The sequence below is a fragment of the Homo sapiens genome, chromosome 4, assembly GCF_000001405.40.
Source record: "Homo sapiens chromosome 4, GRCh38.p14 Primary Assembly".
NCBI lineage: Eukaryota > Metazoa > Chordata > Mammalia > Primates > Hominidae > Homo > Homo sapiens.
In genome coordinates this window covers 6,843,478-6,864,751 of record NC_000004.12, presented here as the reverse complement: position 1 = coordinate 6,864,751, position 21,274 = coordinate 6,843,478, and the positions used below count along the sequence as shown (strand labels likewise).

At 41.0% G+C, this 21,274-nt stretch overlaps 1 protein-coding gene across 24 annotated transcripts in view; it reads right to left on the bottom strand.

Moving 5' to 3' along the window:
- KIAA0232 overlaps positions 1 to 21,274 on the bottom strand; it is a 101,438-nt gene that overhangs the window by 19,413 nt on the left and 60,751 nt on the right. For 22 of the 24 annotated variants that reach the window (XM_047416450.1, XM_047416446.1, XM_047416453.1 and 19 more), the window contains 3 exons: positions 7,522 to 7,588; positions 6,246 to 6,327; positions 569 to 3,851 (listed from right to left, as the gene is read on the bottom strand). In XM_047416450.1, coding sequence (XP_047272406.1) covers positions 569 to 3,851; positions 6,246 to 6,327; positions 7,522 to 7,588 — 3,432 coding nt within the window. Of the gene's footprint in view, positions 1 to 568; positions 3,852 to 6,245; positions 6,328 to 7,521; positions 7,589 to 8,853; positions 8,952 to 21,274 lie in introns of those variants that run through there. The other 2 variants (XM_005248041.6, XM_047416457.1) reach the window with 1 other exon arrangement.

Genomic DNA, 21,274 nt, shown 5'->3' with positions numbered 1-21,274 from the left:
TTTTTTTTTTTTTTGAGATGGAGTCTCACCCTGTCACCCAGGCTGGAGTACAGAACACGATCTCGGCTCACTGCAACCTTTGCCTCTCGGGTTCAAGTGATTCTCCTGCCTCAGCCTCCCAAGGAGCTGGGATTACAGGTGCCTGCCACCACGCCTGGGTAATTTTTGTATTTTTAGTAGAGACGGGGTCTCACCATGTTGGCCAAGCTGGTCTTGAACTCCTGACCTCAAATGATCTACCCACTTCGGCCTCCCAAAGTGCTGGGATTACAGGCGTGAGCCACTGCACCCGGCCAATAACATGCATCTTAAGACAACACATAGGAATCTTACATCCTGTGATTTTTAAAAGCTTTTTCTCTCCAGAAAAACTCTACTGTCTAGTTCAAATTCATAAATATCAAATCCATTTTAAGTCCTTACATGTAAAATTAGAACAATTTAAGTTTTAAGACATTTAAGCTAATTTCCCAATAATTTAACCCTATCTTTCATTGACTGGCATGTCTGTTCTTGGGTTAAACTCTGATCAAATCCTTTTGTCAAATACCAACACGCAGACACATACCTCTTCCAGCTGTCCCGAAGAAACTGGATTATCTTCATAAGCAGGAAACTGACAACCTGCTTTGCAACCACAAAAATTATTAATTTCTTCCTCGCATTGTGCCATTATTTTACAATTTGCTTCTGAGCTTTCTAAATCTATTTCCAGGGATTCATTCATGCTACATTCCAAACACTGATTTTGCTTTCCTACTGAAAGAATCCCAGTTGATTCCTCCTGGGAATCCAGTGATGTCTGAGCACTCTTTTCCATCCCAGATTTTTTTAACCTGGGAAGGAATTTTCCAGACTCAAGCTCTGATTTTCCATAGTAATGGCCTTCTTTCTCTGCATCTTCTTCCAAAGGTTTGAGATCTGCCTGCGGATCTTCAAATATATCAACTTGAGAAGGAATGGGAATATTTGCTTCATCTTTCTCAGATTCAAATTCTGACTCGCTTCCTCCTCCTGGGGACAGTTCGGATGCAGAAATTGGGCGAAAGTGAGTCCGAGGAGAGATCCGAATAGCCCTGTATTGTGTTCTGTCAACACCACATATCCTGGGGTGAAACACTTCACTGTCTGAATCAGAACAGAGGATTGATTTCGGTTTAAAACTGGGGCTGAAAGATGCAATCCCTTCAGGTTCAAATGAGCATTCTACATGAAGAACTTGTGAAAATGGATTGCTTAAGTCAAAGGAAGAAAATGAGTATTCAAGTCCAGGATCTTCGACTTGAAAGTTGCCACAAGCTCCTAGTAAGTCTTCATGGAAGATAAAAGAAAATCCCTTATTTAACCCATTTTCCCCACTCTTCGGCTGATCATTCTGTTCAAATGACACGAAGGGTTTCCATAACTGCCTGTGCCCAGGAGCAAAACTGTTTCCTGGGGTCATAAAGACATCTGTACCAGCTATCGTCACAACATCAGAAGCTGCACACTGTAACAGACTTCCTTTTGTGTGACTAGGTGGTACGACTGCCCACTCCCCATCACTATTGAAGGTTTTGAGTTCTCCATAAACTCCTCCAAGAATGAATGTGTTTTCTTTATCTTGGGCTACATCCCAGGGTTTAGAGGGTGTTGTATAATCACCACCATCCACGTTTGATAGCTCACTAGAAGCAAATGCTCTTTTCTCCAGGCTCTCTTTCTGTCCCTCCCACAGATGGTACTCTGACCTCCGCACAGCCTTATCAGGCTCCTGAAGGGTCTCCAGTTCAGCTTCAGCATCTAGACAGCAGCAGTAGTTATTTACATCTGCCGAAAACAACTCAGCATCAGTTCTTTCTATTTCTACTGTAGCCACAGAATTTGTGTCTGCCATCTTTGTCCAAATGTCTTTAATAACCCCTGAGCTGTAGCCATCTCCATGTGGACTTTCATTACATACTTGTGTAGTTTCAAAATTTTTGTTTTCTGTTTTTTGTTCTAGCTGAATACCACAGACGGATTCTAGTTTAGATGTTTTTTTGAAAACTAATGTAGGAATCTCACCTAAAGTTCTACTGTTTTGCTGGCAAGTTTCATCTTGCAAAAAATCTAGAAGTTCTTCATCTACATAATTTGACGAGACTCTAGGAACTACATAATTAATATCTTCGGCATTAAACTGTGTGGATTCTTCAAACTGAATATTTAATGTTTCATTGTCTGAACGTGTTTCTTCTGAATGGGACCATGGACTACAAGTTCTTGTTGAAAGATTAGAACAGTGTTCATTTTCTTCAAAGGCACTATTTTTGGTCCATATTAGCAATCTAGACTGTGTTTTCCCAAGCATATTAGCACTAGAATCTGTATTTTCATTTCCCAAGTTGAGTGTTTCAAAAGAAAATGGTAAAACAGAATTACTGCATTGCACTTCAAACACTGAAAAACAAGAGTTTATACCAGATCCTTCATTAATATCTGAAAAGAGCTCTTGATTGCCAGCAAGCAGGTGTGAATTGAGCACTGTGCTGTCTAAGATGGGAGAGAGTCTAACTGGAGAGTCTCCTCCAAAACTCTCCCCATCAGCATCACCGGAGCTGGATGAACAGCACTCCCAAAACTGAGCCAGATTGCCAAGGTCCTGCAGGAATAAGCCCTCAGCACCTACGGAGCTGGTAGAATCTGTCCATATTGCACGTTCCCCTTGCAACTCCATACCATCTAACACTATGCAACATTCTGCCTCAAAATCTGTGTTCTCTTTGCTTTTCTGTCGAATCATATTCAAAATCCGACTTTCTCCTTGCATTGTTTCTGAGGCACCAGGATCCAACATGGATTGATCAATATCCACTTCATAGAAGTGCGTTAATTCTGATAGATGAATATCATCCAGGTATTTATTGTCCTCTGGTAGAGAACATAATGAGGTCCCAGTGAGGTCAATATCCTCATTTATAACTGCAGGCATTTCTACAAAATGACCATCAATGAAAGTACCTGCTGCGAGGTATGTTTTATGAAGATTATTGTTGCTGATACAAAGACCATGCACTGATTCAGACAATTCTTCCACTGCCTCTGATGTCAGATCACTTGTATCCTGTCTGTTTCGGTATGTGGTCTCTAGTTTACTTTTTCTGCTCAGAGGAACAAAATATTCAGCAATTGGCTCGGTGTACCACAAGGGCTCCTCTTTATACTCTGTGTCCTTTCTATTCTCCATGTACAGGTCTTTTCCTTCAGTGCTCCCAGGATCTTTTCTCCCTATTTCTTTTAAAGGTCTCTTACCCCGCTTGCACAGCTGTTTGACAGAACCACTGCTGCTACTGCTACTACTTCCAGTATGAATGTTCCTTTCAGCCTTTTCACCGTGCTTCAAAGAAAGCCTGCTTTGCCCATTCCGCCCTTTTTTGTTTCGAATCTCTCGTGCCTTGTGTCTTACTTTAACATACTTCATGGATGCTTTTAATTCTCCCTGATTCCCACTGGAACTTGAGCCTGCTTCACTGGAGCCAGAAGACCACGAGCGAGGGCGAATCTTTCCTTCAGGTTTATGTCGGATTTGCTTTTTGTACAAAGCAGGCTTTTCTTCAATTGTGCCATTACTAAATTTGTTTTCCTTCTCGTTTTTGCTTTTGCTCTGGGTTTTCTCATGCACAGTGGTGGGTACTTCACTGCTTCTTTCCTTGGTGACTTCACTTTCACTGTTGCAGTCCTTAGGAGAGGAAGTATCTGTGCTAGCTGGTGGGGCTGTGGATGATGAAGAAGAGCTAGAGTAAGAACAGACTTTAGACTTGTTCCACACAGTCATGATTTCTTGCAGGCAAACTGGTTTCTCAGAAAGTGGTGGAAATGCTTCATAGTACCTGAAAAACAGAGTAAAGACTTCAAAACACGAGTATGCAGATTTTTTAGATACAGTAAAACAACATTACCAACCAGAAGAATGGAATATTTCATTTTAGTAGTGTCAACATTCACATCATCCAAGAATCATTAACTTTACAATAATTTATAATACAGTAAAATATGCTTAAGATTAGTCCCATGCATCAAGCACCATTTTGCTCAGCACTGTGATACGCACTGTAAGATTACTGAGAAAATATGTAAGATGACAGTTTTTATCTTCAAAGTTTGCATTTTAATTAAGAAGTCAAAAAGGACAAATAGTAGAAGAAAGAATGCAGTCTCTTCAGTAAGCATTATCTGAATTTGAATCTCAGCTAAGTCACTATTGCTTGCGACTTTAAGCTCATTATTTACTGCTTCAGACTATTTCCTCAACTGCAAAATGGTGATCCTATGACTTACCTCCCAAAGTTATTGTGAGCGTTGAAAATATATGCGGTTAAAAAGCTCGGTAGCAATCAGTCAAGAGTATGAGCTCTGAAGCCACATTCTCTGAGGTCAAATCCTGGCTCTGCCTGCTTTACTAGCTGTGTGACCTTAGGCATGTTACTTAACCTCTCCATAGCTCAGTTTCCTCACCTACAAAATAGAGCTAGTAATATTTACCTCTCAGGGTTGTGAGGAGTAAAGGAATTAATATGCAAAATGAGTTGGAACAGCAGCTTCTTACGTAACTGCTAGCATACTGCCTGGCATTGAAGCAGGCCCTCAGAAAGGGTAGGAATGATCACATTCAAGTATTCAGAAAGAGGATGTCGGTGAGGCCTACAACAATTAAAGTGGGCCACAACTGAGCCTTGAAATTCCAGATTTATTCCACAAGTTTAGTGAGTACTACCTGTGAGGCCTGAGAGCCTGTGTGAGGACACCAAGACACACATGTTATGCTCACAGAATGGAAAACTAACTAGAGCTGTGATCACCAGAAATGCAGCGTAGAAAAAGCCAGGGAGGCTGGTTTCAGGGGGCTTGAAAATGAGAAAGTATTTTTGATTTGCTAGGAAACTGGGGGCCACTGAAGATTTCAGAGCAGAACAGATTGCAAAGGGCAGAATTTAAAGTCACATTGGCTACTGGGGACTGTTGTTTCAGAGGCAATGCTCAAGGTCACACATGAAGTGGTAAAAGGCCATGTTTTCAAAGGGCCTGAACTTGATTCTCTTTCTCAGTCTATGTCAGAGTTGACCAACAGAAATATATTTTGAGCTTCATATGTAATTTTAAGTGTTCTAGTAGGCACATTAAAAACATAAGAAATAGGTGAAATGCACTCCAGTAATATATTTAACTAAACTCCTGATATTATCATTTCAACATGTAATCAATACTTTAAAATGTTTAATACTTTACTTTTTTTTATATATAGTCTTTGAAATCCAATGAGAATTGTCCACTGACAGCACATCACGGTTTGAACCAGCCCCATTTCAAGTGCTCAGTAGTCACACATGGCTTACAGCTTCTGTGCTGGATAATACAGGTCTATACAAACCAAGGAAATGCTATTTTTTTCTTAGGTTTCAGAGGTTCGAAAGATTAAAATAAAATGTATAATAGGGAAGTCTGTTTATAATGCAGATTATTTTAAGACTATTTACGAACAAAAAAATAAAAGTATCTTTAGGAAGCAGGTTTGGCAGGTCAAGGATTGCCTATGTTCCCTCTGCAGTAAACAGTGGGAACTCAGTGTTCTTGCTTGTGAACATGGATAATCATTTCTTTTCTTTCTTGTTTTTTTTTTTTTTTTTTTTTTTAATAAGACAGAGTCTCGCTCTGTCGTCCAGGCTGGAGTGCAATGGCACAGTCTCAGCTCACTGCAACCTCTGCCTCCCGGGTTCCAGAAATTCTCCTGCCTCGGTCTCCTGAGTAGCTGGGATTACAGGCATGTACCACCATGCTCAACTAATATTTGAGACTGGGTTTCACCATGTTGACCAGGCTGGTCTCAAACTCCTGACCTCAGGTGATCCACCTGCCTTGGCTTCCCAAAGTGCTGGGATTACTGACATGAGCCACTGTGCCCGGCTGATAATCCTAATTTCTCACAGCTGTCTCAAAGGGCTGTTGTGAATATTAAAGGTAATAGTACATACATAGACTTAGCAAATAATAACCTTCTATGTTTCACTCATTTGTTCCACAAATATTGAATATGAACACCAAGGACAGAACCATCTTGTTTCACCTTTGAATTCTCAGTGTCAAGCATATAAGCGCTCGATAAATGTTTCTTACATTATATATAATGAAACTAAACAAGATGACAAACAGAAAACGGAAACCATGTAGCAGTTATTCATCTGATTTTAACAAATGCACACTTTATTACCGAATACAATCTTACATACATTTCCACTTGATCCTTTGCTGGAGGGGATAATTCTGCCTCTGGAGAGGGAGACCCCTCTAACTTTTTGTGAATCTTCTCTTCTGTTATGAAACAAAAATTAAGAAAGATTTGTCTTATATCTAGTTAATAAATGCTAATGTATTTCAAAGTTTCTCAACTAATTTTAACAAGAAATAGAGACTTTGGTGCTTAAAAGGCAAACTCAATACCGATCTTTTTAATAAAAATCTATTTTTTCAGTGTGCCAGAGGGAATTCTCCGATTAAACCACATTAGCATTAGGCCAAGAGGTGAGAGTTGTTCATCTCGTCACTGATACAGTGCTCTAGAGGCACTTAATTAAGAGACTGAAGTCCCCTGTGTACTTATTAATTAGACCAGAAGGACAGAACATCTGTTTAGATTCCAAAACTATTTTCTCACAAAATTCTACACTCATAGACTTTACATTGACTCATCTTGACCAAAACTAATCTGTAAAGAATATTCTTTATTACAATTTGCTCTATTACTTAACATGTAGGTGAGCAAGGGCTATTTCAACTGAAACAGGAAAAAGGGCTATCCCTTAGTTTAGCCTAGGATACTGCCTTAGGTTACAAATCAACTGTGCCCTTAAGAGGCAGGCTCAAGGCTTGGTGGGCAGCAAAATGACCATAAAGAGGGCAAGGAAACAAGGATCCTCACCCTTAATATGAAGGTCTCGTTCTTAGGGATTGCAAACAAGTTAGAAAAAGTATGAGGAGGATTCATATATCGAAATAACTAAATAAGCTTGCCAAGTCTGTGTTTTCAAAAAAGCTGAGTCAAAACAGAAGTCCCTTCCAAACCTGAAGTAATTCATGTCTTAACATCTTAATTTAATGTCGTAATTTAGCAGTCTTAACATCAACAGGCAGATATTAACAGAGGGGCAAGGATGGGGAAAGGAAAGAGACAATATTGTTCCTGATCTCTGAGCTTCAACTTGAAGCCAACAACAATTAAAAAAACCCAAAAAACAGAAAACCATGAAGTGTTTCCTATCTCTGAGGGCACCTGTGGACTAAGTCCCTCCCTTGGTTGCAGGAATCTCTATGAGTGACTGCTGGGTCTGACACAGAAGCCACTAACAGAGCTGCAGATGGAGCATGAGGCTGGCCTAGTGACACACACTGGACACAAAGACTTTGTTCTGGTTGTTTTCTTTTCTGATCAATTCTAAGATTTTCCCCAATCCAGATTCCTCAGGGATGTAATCCTGGCATGTGTGCGCACAGTGCTTTTGACCTCACCTTGCTTACTCTGAAGGTCTTTCAGTCTGGAGCAGAGCTCCTCCACTAAAGTCTCGATACCAGAGCTCTGCATGACAACAAAAAGACACATTAGGTTACAGCCAGGTATGTACAAATCAGGTATTTGTATACTTTTGTTTTAATACACAGGTTTTACAAATCATCCACATTCCAAAATAAATATCTTACCAATATTTACGTGAATACTACAGTTTAAAAATTATAGGTTTGTAGATACAAATTGGTATACATGCTTATTACTAATAAGGCATATTAAATGAAACTTAGTGATAAAATGTGAACATATTCATGTACCTCCCAGAATAGCTTCTGTTTTTCCAAAGGTGTGTCATCTTGCTCATGGGGCAGATTTAAGGGCCTAAATGTCCATCATACGACCAAAAGTCAGTCACCATCAAAAAGAGTATTAAATATTTATGTGAGCGAGATCTTATACCAGACTTAAAACAAAGGAAAATCACAAAACCTCATCTTAGTTCTCTAGGAGCTCACACCCTGAAGAAAACAAGGTGATTTTTTTTTTTTCTGTTTTAAAGAAACATGAACACTCATGATTAAAACAACAGAAGTCCAGAAAATGAAGCCAATATTGCAAATGTGAAAGCTTTGTCTTCTTTTCAGCATCTGGACCAGATTATCGACTTCTATACAAAGCTTGGGAGTTTAAAATTTAAGGAGAGTACATAGAAGAGTCTGGATTTGGGAGGGTAAAAATAAGAGTCAACCTTTAAAGAAAAATGAATGTAGAAAACAGGCACAAGCAAATAATCTTTCATTAGTAGACTTTAACTTTTAAGAGTCTCAATTTCTCACAGGAAGAAAAAAAAATTTTTTTACAGTGGACAAAAAAAGTCAATGTATTTCTCAGAAACTTTAGATTTATTCAGTGACCAAAGTCCTATTTAAACTGGAATCAAGTCCTTATTGGTGGGCATAACCCAAACAGATGCGCGTGATGGAGAGTTCTGCTAAGCCAGTGCCCTCACTAGGCCTTGACGGGCTAAAAATAGAACTTTACCCCATTCACTTAACTCAAAATGACTCAGCACAAATATTATAGATATCCTACATAAGAAATCCCACGGTTACACAGTTTGAGTAGCAAGAAACAGATTACAATGAAAACAGTTAATTGTAAACATCTAGAGTTACATTCTGTCCACGTCATACCACAGGTTTTAATAGGAAGATAGAAAAATAGGCCAGACAAGAGTTGCCCTTTCCTTTAAAAACACTCTTAAAAACGATGGCAGATATTAGTCATAAACACTGTTCAACCACAAACAGTTGCACCAGAAAGCACCTGCTTACCATAATGCTCAAGGTGTGACAAGGACGGCAATTATATTCCATTTCCTTCGGATCGTGAAACCAACACCAGTGTCAGCTGACACACTGCATACTGTTCTGTACAGCAAGCCTATGTCACTAGGTTTCTAAACCTAGGGCTAGTCTCGCAATGCAGAACACTGAACCTCTAGGGATCACTTATTAAACGTCTTCCAATACTCTAAAATGGGGTCCCATTTAATCAGAATGGTCATTACAACCTAGTGACTACGTATTTTTTCATGCTTTGTCTTAGAAATTAATTACATATACACACATATATTTATTAATATATGAGTAAATATGTATACTATATGAGTGATATATATATATTTGCTGTCATATATAAACATATATTTTTTTTGCTCTCATGTTTAAACAGCAAAATAAGAGCTTACTCCTTACTCTCTGTGTAAAAGCAAGCTCTACCAACCAGGTTTTTCTGTTCTTTTCTTGACTACCTGTAGCATCTTATATATTTTTTTAAAAAATCAGCTGGGCGCAGCGGCTCACACCTGTAATCCCAGCACTTTGGGAGGCCAAGGTGGGTGGATCACTTGAGGTCAGGAGTTCAAGACTAGCCTGGCGAACATGGTGAAACCCCGTTTCTACTAAAAATACAAAAAAAATTAGCTGGGCGTGGTGGCAGGCACCTGTAATCTTAGCTACTTGGGAGGCTGAGGCAGGAGAACTGCTTGAACCCAGGAGGTGGAGGTTGCAGTGAGCTGAGATCGCGTCATTGCACTCCAGCCTGGGCAACAGAGCGAGACTCGGTCTCAAAAAAATAAAAAAAAATAAAAAATAAAAAATAAAAAATCATGAGAACCCTGGGTCACCATCACAGCAAGCTGGGAAGCATAGAGGCACAGCAGAAGCTGTCATCACCCTTTGTTGTCTCCTGGCAGGTGTTCCAAAGTGTTAATTTACAGTTTTAATGAGAAATTTTTATTCACTTTCCCAATTATATAAACCATTAGAAAATATTAATAATCAAATTTCAGTAGCATAGCATATCCATAAGGCCATTCAATAATATTTTGAGAGCCTATAGTATCTTAAAAAACAAAGAAAGATTAAGTTATATCTTAATAACAACTCTAAGGAAGCACAAGCTATAGGTGAAAAAAATGCTACCATTCCACCACTGAACTCATGAATTGCTTTTCCTAACTGTAAAATGGATAATATCCACCCATCTTCCAGTATCCAACACATGTAAAACACTCTGCAAACCGTTAAGAGCACTCTAAAATTCAAATTACAGTACTCCAAACCTGCAAAGTGGCGAGCCACATACAGACGCTGGCAAGTTTCAGGACACGCTCAGTGAGCAACCCTCAGAATGCATGGACAGCCAGCCACTAGTTTACCATGCACTGGCTCATTCACGCACCCAGTGAACAAATGGTTATGACGACCCCTGTCCTCCTGAGATTTACATGATAATCACTCTAATTTCTCTGAGAAGAGGACTCAGTGGAATGTATTTGGGTTTGGGGCTTGGAGTCATGCTGGCCTGGGTCTGAATTCTTGCCCTGCTACATTCACTGGGCAGCAAAGGGCATGTGTGCCACTTCCTCTTTCTGGACCCAAGAATGCCACCACTTCCCTCCCAAGATTCAGTAAAAAAAAGCTAACATGACACATGTGAGGCATCCAGAGTCCCTGTCACCTTAGTCACTTAAATGTTGGTGTCATTTCTAGATTTTGTACGTCTTTAATTTTCTACAATCTTGTTTTTTGATTCATCACTTCAAAAATGTCTTTAATTTTTGCTATGATTTGATTTTGAGGTTGGAGGAGTAAAAAGATAATTAACCTAATGCATACCACCAAAACCCCTCTGGATTCTCCCTGGACTTCATGGCCTGCTCCTTCTCTCTCTGACCAACGCTAGGTTCTTGCTACTGCTACACTCTCTGCTCCTGGCTGTGGGGTGGGGTTGAAGAGTTAAATGATGATGGAGACTGAGCCTTGGTCAAACACAGCAACTGGTGTCCTATTACTTCATGAGGGTCTTATTTGTTCCCTGACAAATTCCTATCACTTCCCATCCCTACAACATTTCCAGTATTTCTCCATCTTCTCCATACTTCCCATCCTTCTCAACTTGGACCTTAGTTATTAAGCGTAAAGTAAAAGAAAGGCAATTTGACTTATTCTGCCTCATCTCTCCTCTCCATACTCAAAGGTTTCTGTGCCATATTAATCATCTTACAGGTTTCTCTTTTATGGAGGGTTCATTTAGACTGGATATTCCCTAAATGCTGGACAGGTGCCGCCATAGTGTGATCACTAACCTACATGATACTCAGTGTTAACTGCCTGTTCCATTTGCACATGGCTCAATGGAGTCAAAGAGATCTGGTTCTAAATTTCACCCCAGGGTTAACCACATGACCCTACATAAATCATTTACCTATCAAAGCCTCAGTTTCTACATCTGGAAAAGGGTGCTAGTATTATGGACACATTTCCTAATAGCTGGTTACTGAATTTCCTGTACTGGTCCCCTAATTTCTTTTGTCACCTGTTTACCATTTCTTCATCTTTTTGTTCTACTTTCTGGAAGATTTCCAGAGCTGCCTTCCAAACCGTCTATTGAGTTTTTCATTTCTATTATCATGGTTATAATTTTTAAAGGATCATCTCATCCCTCAAATGTTTCTTCTTTCCAGCAACCTCTTCCTCGTTAAGAAATCTTCCACACTTCTATCTTTGGAAGATAAACCTATTTGTCAGTCAGGCACCAGAAAGGGATGGGGGAATCAGTCAGTCCCCAATTTTCATTATGGTGTCTCATGCTTTGCCTCAGGGGTGCCTAGTATCCCAAAGTCCAGAAGCTGTCTACTTAATCTCTCCAGAAAGTAACTGTCAGAGGAAAGGCTGTTACTCTGGGGCCCCCAATGAACTGTGCCTCCCTGCACTTGCCCCTAGGTTGGGCCCCTCCCACAGTGACTGGGTTTCACAATAAGATGTTGCCGAGTGTGACAGATGCCCTCCTGGAATGCTACCTTCTGAGTGTTCTCCATCTGCCATGTGGTGAAAGGTCACAGCTCCCAGCCATGCTTGCTGAAGCACCAGTCACATGAGGAAAGCAATCCTGGATGTTTCAGCTCCACCTGCCATCACAGACCCCAAGCAAGAACAGCAGAAGAACCTCCCAGCTGAGCCCTAGCTAACTCACAGAATTGTGGGTAAATAGTTGTTTCAAGCCACTAAGTTTTGGGGTACTTAGTCATGTAGCAATAACTGAAGCACAGGCTTTCAAACACTCCTATTTTCAGCCCAGCCCTGCACATGGAGCTCTTTTACAGTTTTTCAGATCTTAGTCTTTAGCTTTAAAGCAGAGTTGGAAGATTAGTGGTAGGAAACCCAACTAGATACTGATAGAATGACTACTGGTGATCATGGTAATCGTTTCACTGGAAAGCAAAGGATCAATTCCATACTTTAATGACTGGAAGTTTTAAAAACCTTTTTAAAATTTAGAATTAAATTAATGTTAAGCAAATAAGCAAAAGAGCACCAACTGAGAAGACTGAGAATATGTGCCAGGGGTCACAAACTCATGCCTTCAATAGCCAGAGAAGCAATACAAAGTGAAAAAAAACTCCTCTAAATAAAAAGCTGTTTCTGCCAAGGCCCCTGTATGAGAGCTGTGATTCCTATCCTTGAACACGGAATGGTCTAAAAAAATTGGCCTGTCTCCAGCTCTCATGCACATTTGCTCTCTAGAAAATGATACAGAGTAGGAGAGAAGTATCCAATGGATAAATATCTTCAAACATGATCTAGGGCACAGATTATATACTCTTTAGAATGCTGAAAAAAAAAGAAGGTTAAAGTTTTCAACAAAAAATAGAGGATATCAAACTGTTATAATAATTAAATAATATGACCAATCGAGGCTTAGAAAAAGGTAACCCCGCTCTTTAGCAGGGTGATGTAACATAAAGGGAACATGATCTGGACTTACGAGACCTGCTGTGCTGTGTGAAGCTGGACAAGTTATTTAACTTCTGAGCCTCCATTTCATCATTTTACAAAAAGAGGAAAATACTTCAACTTGAATTAAGTCCTTCAATTTTCTTAGTTCATTATAGCACCTTACTGATTTAGGCAAACCCCTCCCCGCTTTTTTTTTTTTTTTTTTTTAATTTTTGAGATAGGATCTTGCTCTGTCACCCAGGCTGGAGTGCAGTGGTATGATCACAGCTCACCATATCCTTGACCTCCAGGACTCACGTGTTGCTCCCACCTTCTCAGCCTCCCAAGTAGCTGGGGACTCAGGCGTGTGCCACCACACTTGGCTTTTCTTTTGTTTTTTTTTCAGAGATGTGGTTTCTGCAAAACCCCATCTCAAACTGGTTTCAAACTGCCAGGCTCAAGCAACCCACCCGCCTCAGCTTCTCAAAGTGCTGGGATTACAGGCATGAGCCATCGCACCCAGGCAAACCCTATTTTTTATGATATGCAAAAAAGTCCTGTTTCTTACTTTCATATGGAGATGGCAGTTTCTTTTCCCTTTAGATATCTAACAAGTAAACTTCCTGAAGGATATTTGGCTACAGAAGCTCAGAAAGCTATGAGCTGAATGTCTGGATACTACTTGTTTCACTTCATGGTTCAATTAAGAAGAATAGTCACAACTTAGACCAGTTATTTTTAATCTAGGAAGGATGAACTCTTAAGGAGGCCACTAATGGGCATGTAACAAAGTAATTCATATAAGAAAAGTTTAAGTATAACATTCTGGTTAGGGCCATAGCTTTCATCAAATACTCCAGTCTATAAGGCTGACAGTTACAAAAAAACACTGACTTCAGTCAAGGAATCTGATGCCTAAGTATACATGCAAGAAAAAGTACTGTACATACGCACAAGGATAAGCAGGTAAGAATGTTCCTTTCGGCCGAGCATGGTGGCTCACGCCTGTAATCTCAGCACTTTGGGAGGCCGAGGTGGGCGGATCACGAGGTCAAGAGATCGAGACCATCCTGGCCAACATGGTGAAATCCCGTCTCTACTAAGAATACAAAAATTAGCTGGGCGTGGTGGCATGTGCCTGTAGTCCCAGCTACTCGGGAGGCTGAGGCAGAGAATCGCTTGAACCCAGGAGGCAGAGGCTGCAGTGAGCTGACTGAGATAACGCCACTGCACTCCAGCCTGGCACAGAGCGAGACTCCGTCTAAAAAAAAAAAAAAAGAATGTTCCTTTCTACTTTCTTTATTAATAGCCCAAAATGAGAAGCAATTGAAAGGCCCATTACCAGGAGAATAAACAGTGTTACATAGTTCACAATGGAGAACTACTTAGGAACGAAGAATGAAGACATTATAAGATCATGTTAACAATATAGAAAAAATTTTAAAATTTTTAACTAAAAGAAGTTACAAAAATATATAGAGTATGGTATAATTTATAGAAAGTTTAAGAAAATGCAAAATCATGCTGTATTTGTGTACACCTTCAAACAGTATTTAGTAAACATACGAAAATAAGCATGGGAAAGACAAACACCAAGCGGGGTATGATGGTGACCTGAGAGGGATGACCAGGAAAGTCATTAGGAAAGCGTACATGGGTCTCCAGCTGTGCCCCCAACACCTGGCTTCTTCAACTTCAGTGGGCACACAGGGATTCACTGGGCCATCATTTGGCCCTTTCTGGTCCTCAAACTCTTAATCTGTTTTCATACCCCAGCCCCTAACCCCACGCATGTCTATTTTATAGTGCCTCACTCTCAGATTTTTACAGCAGCCCCTTCCACTTCTGTGTCTGCTCTCATATTCTCACTTTTCAACATTTGAAAGATCAGAAAACTTCCTGTTAAAAAATCCCAATTTTCTACCTTTTCTAAAAAGAGATCAGAAGATCTGGGCTAGATTAACAAAAAGAAAATGGGCTATTTCTTGCCTGGTCCTCATAAACCACTCTACCCCACCAACCCTAGACATGCATATTCAGTTTATTCAGCTGCCTGTTCAAAAATCTCCATTTAGCTGTCTCCTAGGAGGCATCTCATATGTTAATCCTTATTCATACCACAAAGATGTTCCTTCCTTAGGTTCCTTTTCCTTAGTAAATAGAAATTACTTTTTTTTTTTTTTGGAGACCGAGTCTCGCTCTGTCACCTGGGCTGGAGTGCAGTGGCGTGATCTTGGCTCCACCGCCTGGTTCAAGCAATTTTCCCACCTCAGCCTCCTGAGTAGCTGGGACTACAGGCATGCACCACCACATCCGGCTAATTTTTTCTTTGTTTGAGATGGAGTCTTGCTCTGTTGCCCAGGCTGCAGTGCAGTGGCACGATCTCAGCTCACGGGAACCTCTGCCTCCTGGGTTCAAGTGATTCTCCTGTCTCAGCCTCCCAGGTAGCTGGGATTATGGGTGGGCGCCACCACGTCCGGTTAATTTTTATATTTTTAGTAGAGACAGGTTTTTGCCATGTTGGCGAGGCTGATCTCAAACTCCTGACGTCAAGTGACCTGCCTGCCTCCCAAAGTGCTGGGATTACAGGCATGAGCCACTGTGCCGGGCCAGGAATTATATTCTTGCAGTTGCTCAGATCAAAACCCTTGGCTGTCTTCCTTGTCTCCTCCCCTTATCTCTACCCCACATCTAATCCTGACAGTTCCATCTTCGAAAACAGATGCAGAATCCCCCAGCCATCTGCCTCCTGGACCCCTGCAACTGCATCTTCACTGGGTGCTCACAATCTGCCCTCTGTCCCTCCAGCACAGCTCACTCACCGTGTTTAGTTAGTCTCAGTGCAGCAACCAGTATGGTCTGATCAGCATCTGATTGGCAAGTAAGTCAGGTTGCACTACTCCTCTCCAAACCCTAACACTTCACAGCTGCTCAGGGGAAAAGCCCAAGTCCCTAGCATGGCCCGTGTGTCCTCAAATGCTCCAGCTCCACTGCCATCTATATACCCAAAGACATAGGACTTAGGCTTCCTCAGGCAGGACTGGCTGTGATCACACAACAACTGTGAGCACTCTCAGCTTTTGTAATCACTGGCTTCTTCCCAGGGGGTTCTGGTCTGTAGAGAGAGCACAGCATCACTTCCTGCAATGTACATAATGTATTCAGACAGGCACCTTACACATTTTAAGTGCTCAATAAATGTTATCATTGTATTGATGCTCTTAGTATTACCCAGAAAAGGTTGGGTTCAACAGTCCATGTGTCAAGACACAGTATATAGTCATCCCTATATTGGGTCGCTTCCAGGACCCCCTGAGGATACCAAAATCTGTGGATGTTCAAGTTCCTTATATAAAATGGCATAATATTTGCATATAACCTACACACATCCTCCTGTATGTTTTAAATTATTTCTCAATGACATGTAATACCTAATACAATGTAAATGCTATGGGTGTAGTTGTCATACTGTATTTTTTAGGGAATGCCAGGAAAAAAGTCTGTATGTGTTCAGCACAGACACAATCATCCATTTTTTTCCAAATATTTTTGATCCACTGTTGGTTACCTCCACAGATGTAGAACTCATGGGTATGAAGGGCCAATTGTATATGGTCAAAATTAACCTTGAAGGTAAACACTGCCGTGACATACTTTACATGGTTTTCTGTAGATATAACCCTGTACAGCATATAAATAATGCATATACAAAATACTAAGTTGTACTCTGTACTTTTACTGGCAAAAAGAATTTTACTGGTAGACTTAGCTCAATGTGAGAATATAAGCAAGTGAATGTTAAGACTCTACTCTACTTAGGGTGTAAGTCCTCTAAGGCTCTTTAAATAACAATAGGACTGGTCAGCTCCCCAGGGTAAGCTGCAGTGCTGTTACCTTCAAAACTAACACCCCAAAAGAATGGTATTATGGAAGAGTTATTGCATTTTAACTTTATTTACTCCTCAAACAGGGCCTCATTAAGTTTCTAATCTTCTAACCATCCTCAAAGTGGGAGATAAAGTACTAGCTTTGATTCAGTTTTAAGTGGCTCAATAAAAATAAAACAAATATAAGTAGTTTTTTTTTTTAAGGGGGAAATGAAGAGTGGTTTGCATATATTTAACAAATACCAGGTATATGCCAGGTCCGGTCATAACAGGAATGAAACAGACAGCTTAGGATAATAATCACCTAAAAAATATGCATCTGGAGGAGGGCTGAATTGCCTATGGCTGATTCACAATACCATTCCTCTTTACAGACCCCATTACTAACTGCAATCAAAGCATATGCAAAACATTTTATCGAAAACTTGCATGTTATTTGCATATGTAAATGAAAGGGAATTAGCCAAGGCAGTTTTCAGCTGGGACCTAAAAACCAATAAAGCCCATCAAAGGTCATGATTCCCTGGAGAAATATTCACCAACTGCTCTGCCAACTTTTACACAGGGACAGCCAAATTTTAATCAATGTATAAAATTAAATTCTGACACAACTGAATTGCCCTTCTGTTTTGGCAATGTCTCTCATAAAATAATGAGCTGAGCAGGCCAAGAGAAGTGCCATAATGTGGGGTACAACTTGTTACAAGGATAAAGTGGAGGCACGGTGTAGTATCACAAGTATGTAAGTGGAGCCAGAGAAGTAAGCCATTCTCCTTAAACCATGACACCAGTGAACAGTCTGGTAACTATGGATGCTTTTATAGAAACAGTTCACATTGTAACTATAACAGTCACATACACGCATGGTCACATGTGTCACACACACACATAATAGCCACACACATAATGAGAAAATAATTCATCTCACATGTAATGCATAACATCACCAGTACTTCCTACCTATACTTATATTTAATATAATAATATAACCTATATTATTGTCTTTTAATTGCCATTAGCATTTTAATCTACTAGATTATAAACTTGAACTGTTAGTGGTTTTTGATTGTGACCAATTAGTAGTGACTGTCTAAAGAGCTGTACTGAGAAGCACTTTTAAGAGGGCATTTGGACTGGATGGGAAAGCATAGCACACAGTACCACAAACACGATCATCCTCAGGAAATGAGCATACTTATATGCAAACATTCACGACAAAAACACAAAATAAAATTGTGCATTATAATTTTCGATGTAGGTCCTCTTTGCTCCTTTCTTTCCATTGAAGCCAATAGACAGATTATAAAAAGAAACCCAGGGGACACACAGATGGCCTACCATTCATAAACTACCACACACTGATTCTTTCTATTGCAGCAGGCAATAGTTAAAGAGGGTTCTTTTCATTGGCTCCCCAAGAGGCCAGTGAGCTGGTTTAAGGCAGTGGTCCCCAGTGTTTTTGGCACCAGGGACTGGTTTCGTGGAAGACAACTGTTCCACAGACCAAGCAGGTAGGCATGGGGTTCGGGATGAAACTTCCACCTCAGACATTAGATTCTTATAAGGAGCGTTCACCCTAGATCCCTCGCATGCTCAGTCCACAATAGGGTTTGTGCTCCTATGAGAATCTAATGCCACAACGGATCTGAGGCGGAGCTCAGGCGGTAAAGCTTGCTCGCTGTTCACCTCCTGCTGTGCAGCCCAGCTCCTAACAGGCCAAGTACTGGTACCTGTCCATGGCCCGGGGGTCGGGGACACCTGGTTTAAGGGATCTATAGATTGATGCACAAACAACAGCTCTGGAGCAGGGACTGGGACTTGAAGACTCTCCTCATTCATTCCATAAGTAATTACCGAGCATCTGGTTATGCCTGGCACATTCACTTCCTCAGCTAATTTTAATTTGGTGAGATTTTTAAAAATCGTTGTTATGAAAAAGCAATCCAACAATCTTTTTTTTTTTAAATAAAATGAGAAGGAAAGAGCAATACAAGTACAAATATGCTTTACTGGGGTTGAAAATAAAAATCCTGCCTATGACAGCCAAGCAAAGGAAAGCATTTTCCCAAAGCAATAACCTAAAGAATCAAAGATCTTTATAAGCCACAACCATTCCCTTGCACTGTTTCTACCTCATACTAAGTTCTTCACATCACACGACATACTCGGCTAGCATGAATTACACGCAAATTCAACAAGCTACAGGAGAAGGGTCTTGCATTACTCATAGAAGGTTTTTATACCCTTCATCTTTTCAGTTGATTTCAGCTGCCCCTGTCATTTCCCCAGCTTAACCGTGAGTCAAAGGCTAGGCTCATTTCTCAGCAACTTTGGTCCAAAGAAGAAATAAGATCCTTTCTCAGTCTGAACCTGCACTACCCATATTTTCTTTCCGACTATAACTCAGCAGCTTCTTTGGATTTTGCTCAAATAATTTACCTGAATTAACTTCTCGCTTGTTAAAAAAAAAAAAATCTGCATTCTGAATTCCTTTAAAAGCTCTAAATTACTTATCAATCTACAAATTATCGATTTACTCCCTTTAGGTGTCATAAAGAAAACACCATTTTGGCTGGGCGTGGTGACTCAGGCCTGTACCGTGCAGTTTGAGAGGCCGACGCGGGAGGATGTCTTGAGCCCAGGAGTTCAAAACCAGCCTGGGCAACACAGGGAGACCCTGTCCCTGTATTTTTTAAAATTAAAACAAAAAACCAAAAAACCCACCATTTTAACCACAAAGTTTTCTCTGCCAAGTTTTCTCTGGGCACGTCACTCACAGCCCCTGCTGAAGTGATGAACCTCCAGGCAGCCCTGCCCCCTCACCAGGGCTTATCAAATCAGGCTGGCTCAAGCCTGATTAAGCCCAGGCTCAATCACCTGGCTCAAGCCCAGCCAATCAGATTCTCTCTCTAGATGAATGGTGTTGGACAGTAGAGTTCCATGGTCATGCTGGGCTGGAAGCTGGAATGGCCATTCTTCACTATGTGCTAAAGCAGAGAAAACCAGAGTTTGGACAGAGAGGGAATGACCCTGACTCAGGTACAGAAGGAAATGAGAGATTGTAGCTTGGTTGTTACCGAAAGTGACTTTGTCTATCACATAATTCCCAGTTCAGGTCTCTCGTGAGGCTGCTATACTTTTAGCACTTGGCTTCAGTGAGATATCCCTGTATCCTTTACATATATTTCTATTCTTCCTTAAACCAGGTTAATTATGTTCCTAATTGTTGTAATGAAATGGTGCCTAAGATAGCTGTATGTATAAGTGGTAACTTCCAAACTCCTATCCCATGCTGTATGAAGCAACAATTTCAAGAAATTAAGAAGCTGGCCAGGCACGGTGGCTCACACCTGTAATCCCAGCACTTCAGGAGGTGGAAGCAGGTGGATCACCTGAGGTCAGGAGTTTGAGACCAGCCTGGCCAACACAGTGAAACCCCATCTCTACTAAAAATACAAAAATTAGCTGGGTGTGGTGGCGGATGCCTGCAATCCCAGCTACTCGGGAGGCTGAGGCAGGAGAATCGCTTGAACCCAGGAGGTTGCAGTGAGCCAGGTTTGCGTCACTGCATTCCAGCCTGGGCAATAGAGTAAGACTCTGTCGTCTCAAAAAAAGAAAAAAGAAAAGAAAAAGAAAAAGAAATTAAGAAGTTAAAAAATCAGAGGTGGGGGAGAAGAAAACAGCTGGGAAGAGAAAAAATAATTGGATGAAAGGGTAGGCTTTTTTAAAAATGAATGTTAGATTCATTTTAAAAAAATCAGTACCTTTCATGTGATAAGCACTCACTGTGCTAGGCAGTAGGAGATAAAAACGATGGGTAACTTGGTCGGGTGCGGTGGCTCACGCCTGTAATCCCAGCACTTTGGGAGGCTGAGGCAGACGGATCACGAGGTCAGGAGATGGAGACCATCCTGGCTAACACGGTGATACCCCATCACTACTAAAAAATACAAAAAATTAGCCGGGCGTGGTGGCGGGCGCCTGTAGTCCCAGCTATTCAGGAGGCTGAGGCAGAAGAATGGCATGAACCCAGGAGGCGGAGCTTGCAGTGAGCCGAGATGGCGCCACTGCACTTCAGCCTGGGCTACAGAGCAAGACTCCGCCAAAAAAAAAAAAAAAAAAAAAAAAAAAAAAAAGATGGGTAACTCACGGTCCTTGCGCCCAGTGAGCACAGTCAAATGAATAATTACAACTTAGGATGTGAAGGCCATGTTATTTGAGGTATACACAATGTATCATGAGTATATGGCCAGGGGAGTCAGGCTTTCAGAGACAATTCTTTTTTTATTTTCTTGAGATGGAGTCTCCCTCTGTCGCCCAGGTTGGAGTGCGGCGGCATGATCCTGGCTCACTGCAACCTCTGCCTCCCAGGTTCAAGTGATTCTCCTGCCTCAGCCTCCGAAGTAGCTGGGATTACAGGCATGCACCACCATGCCCAGCTAATTTCTGTATTTTTAGTAGAGATGGGGTTTCACTATGTTGGACCAGGCTGGTCTCGAACTCCTGACCTCAGGTGATCTGCCCGCCTTGGCCTCCCAAAGTCCTGGGATTACAGGTGTTGAGCCACTGTTCCTGGCCTCAGAGAT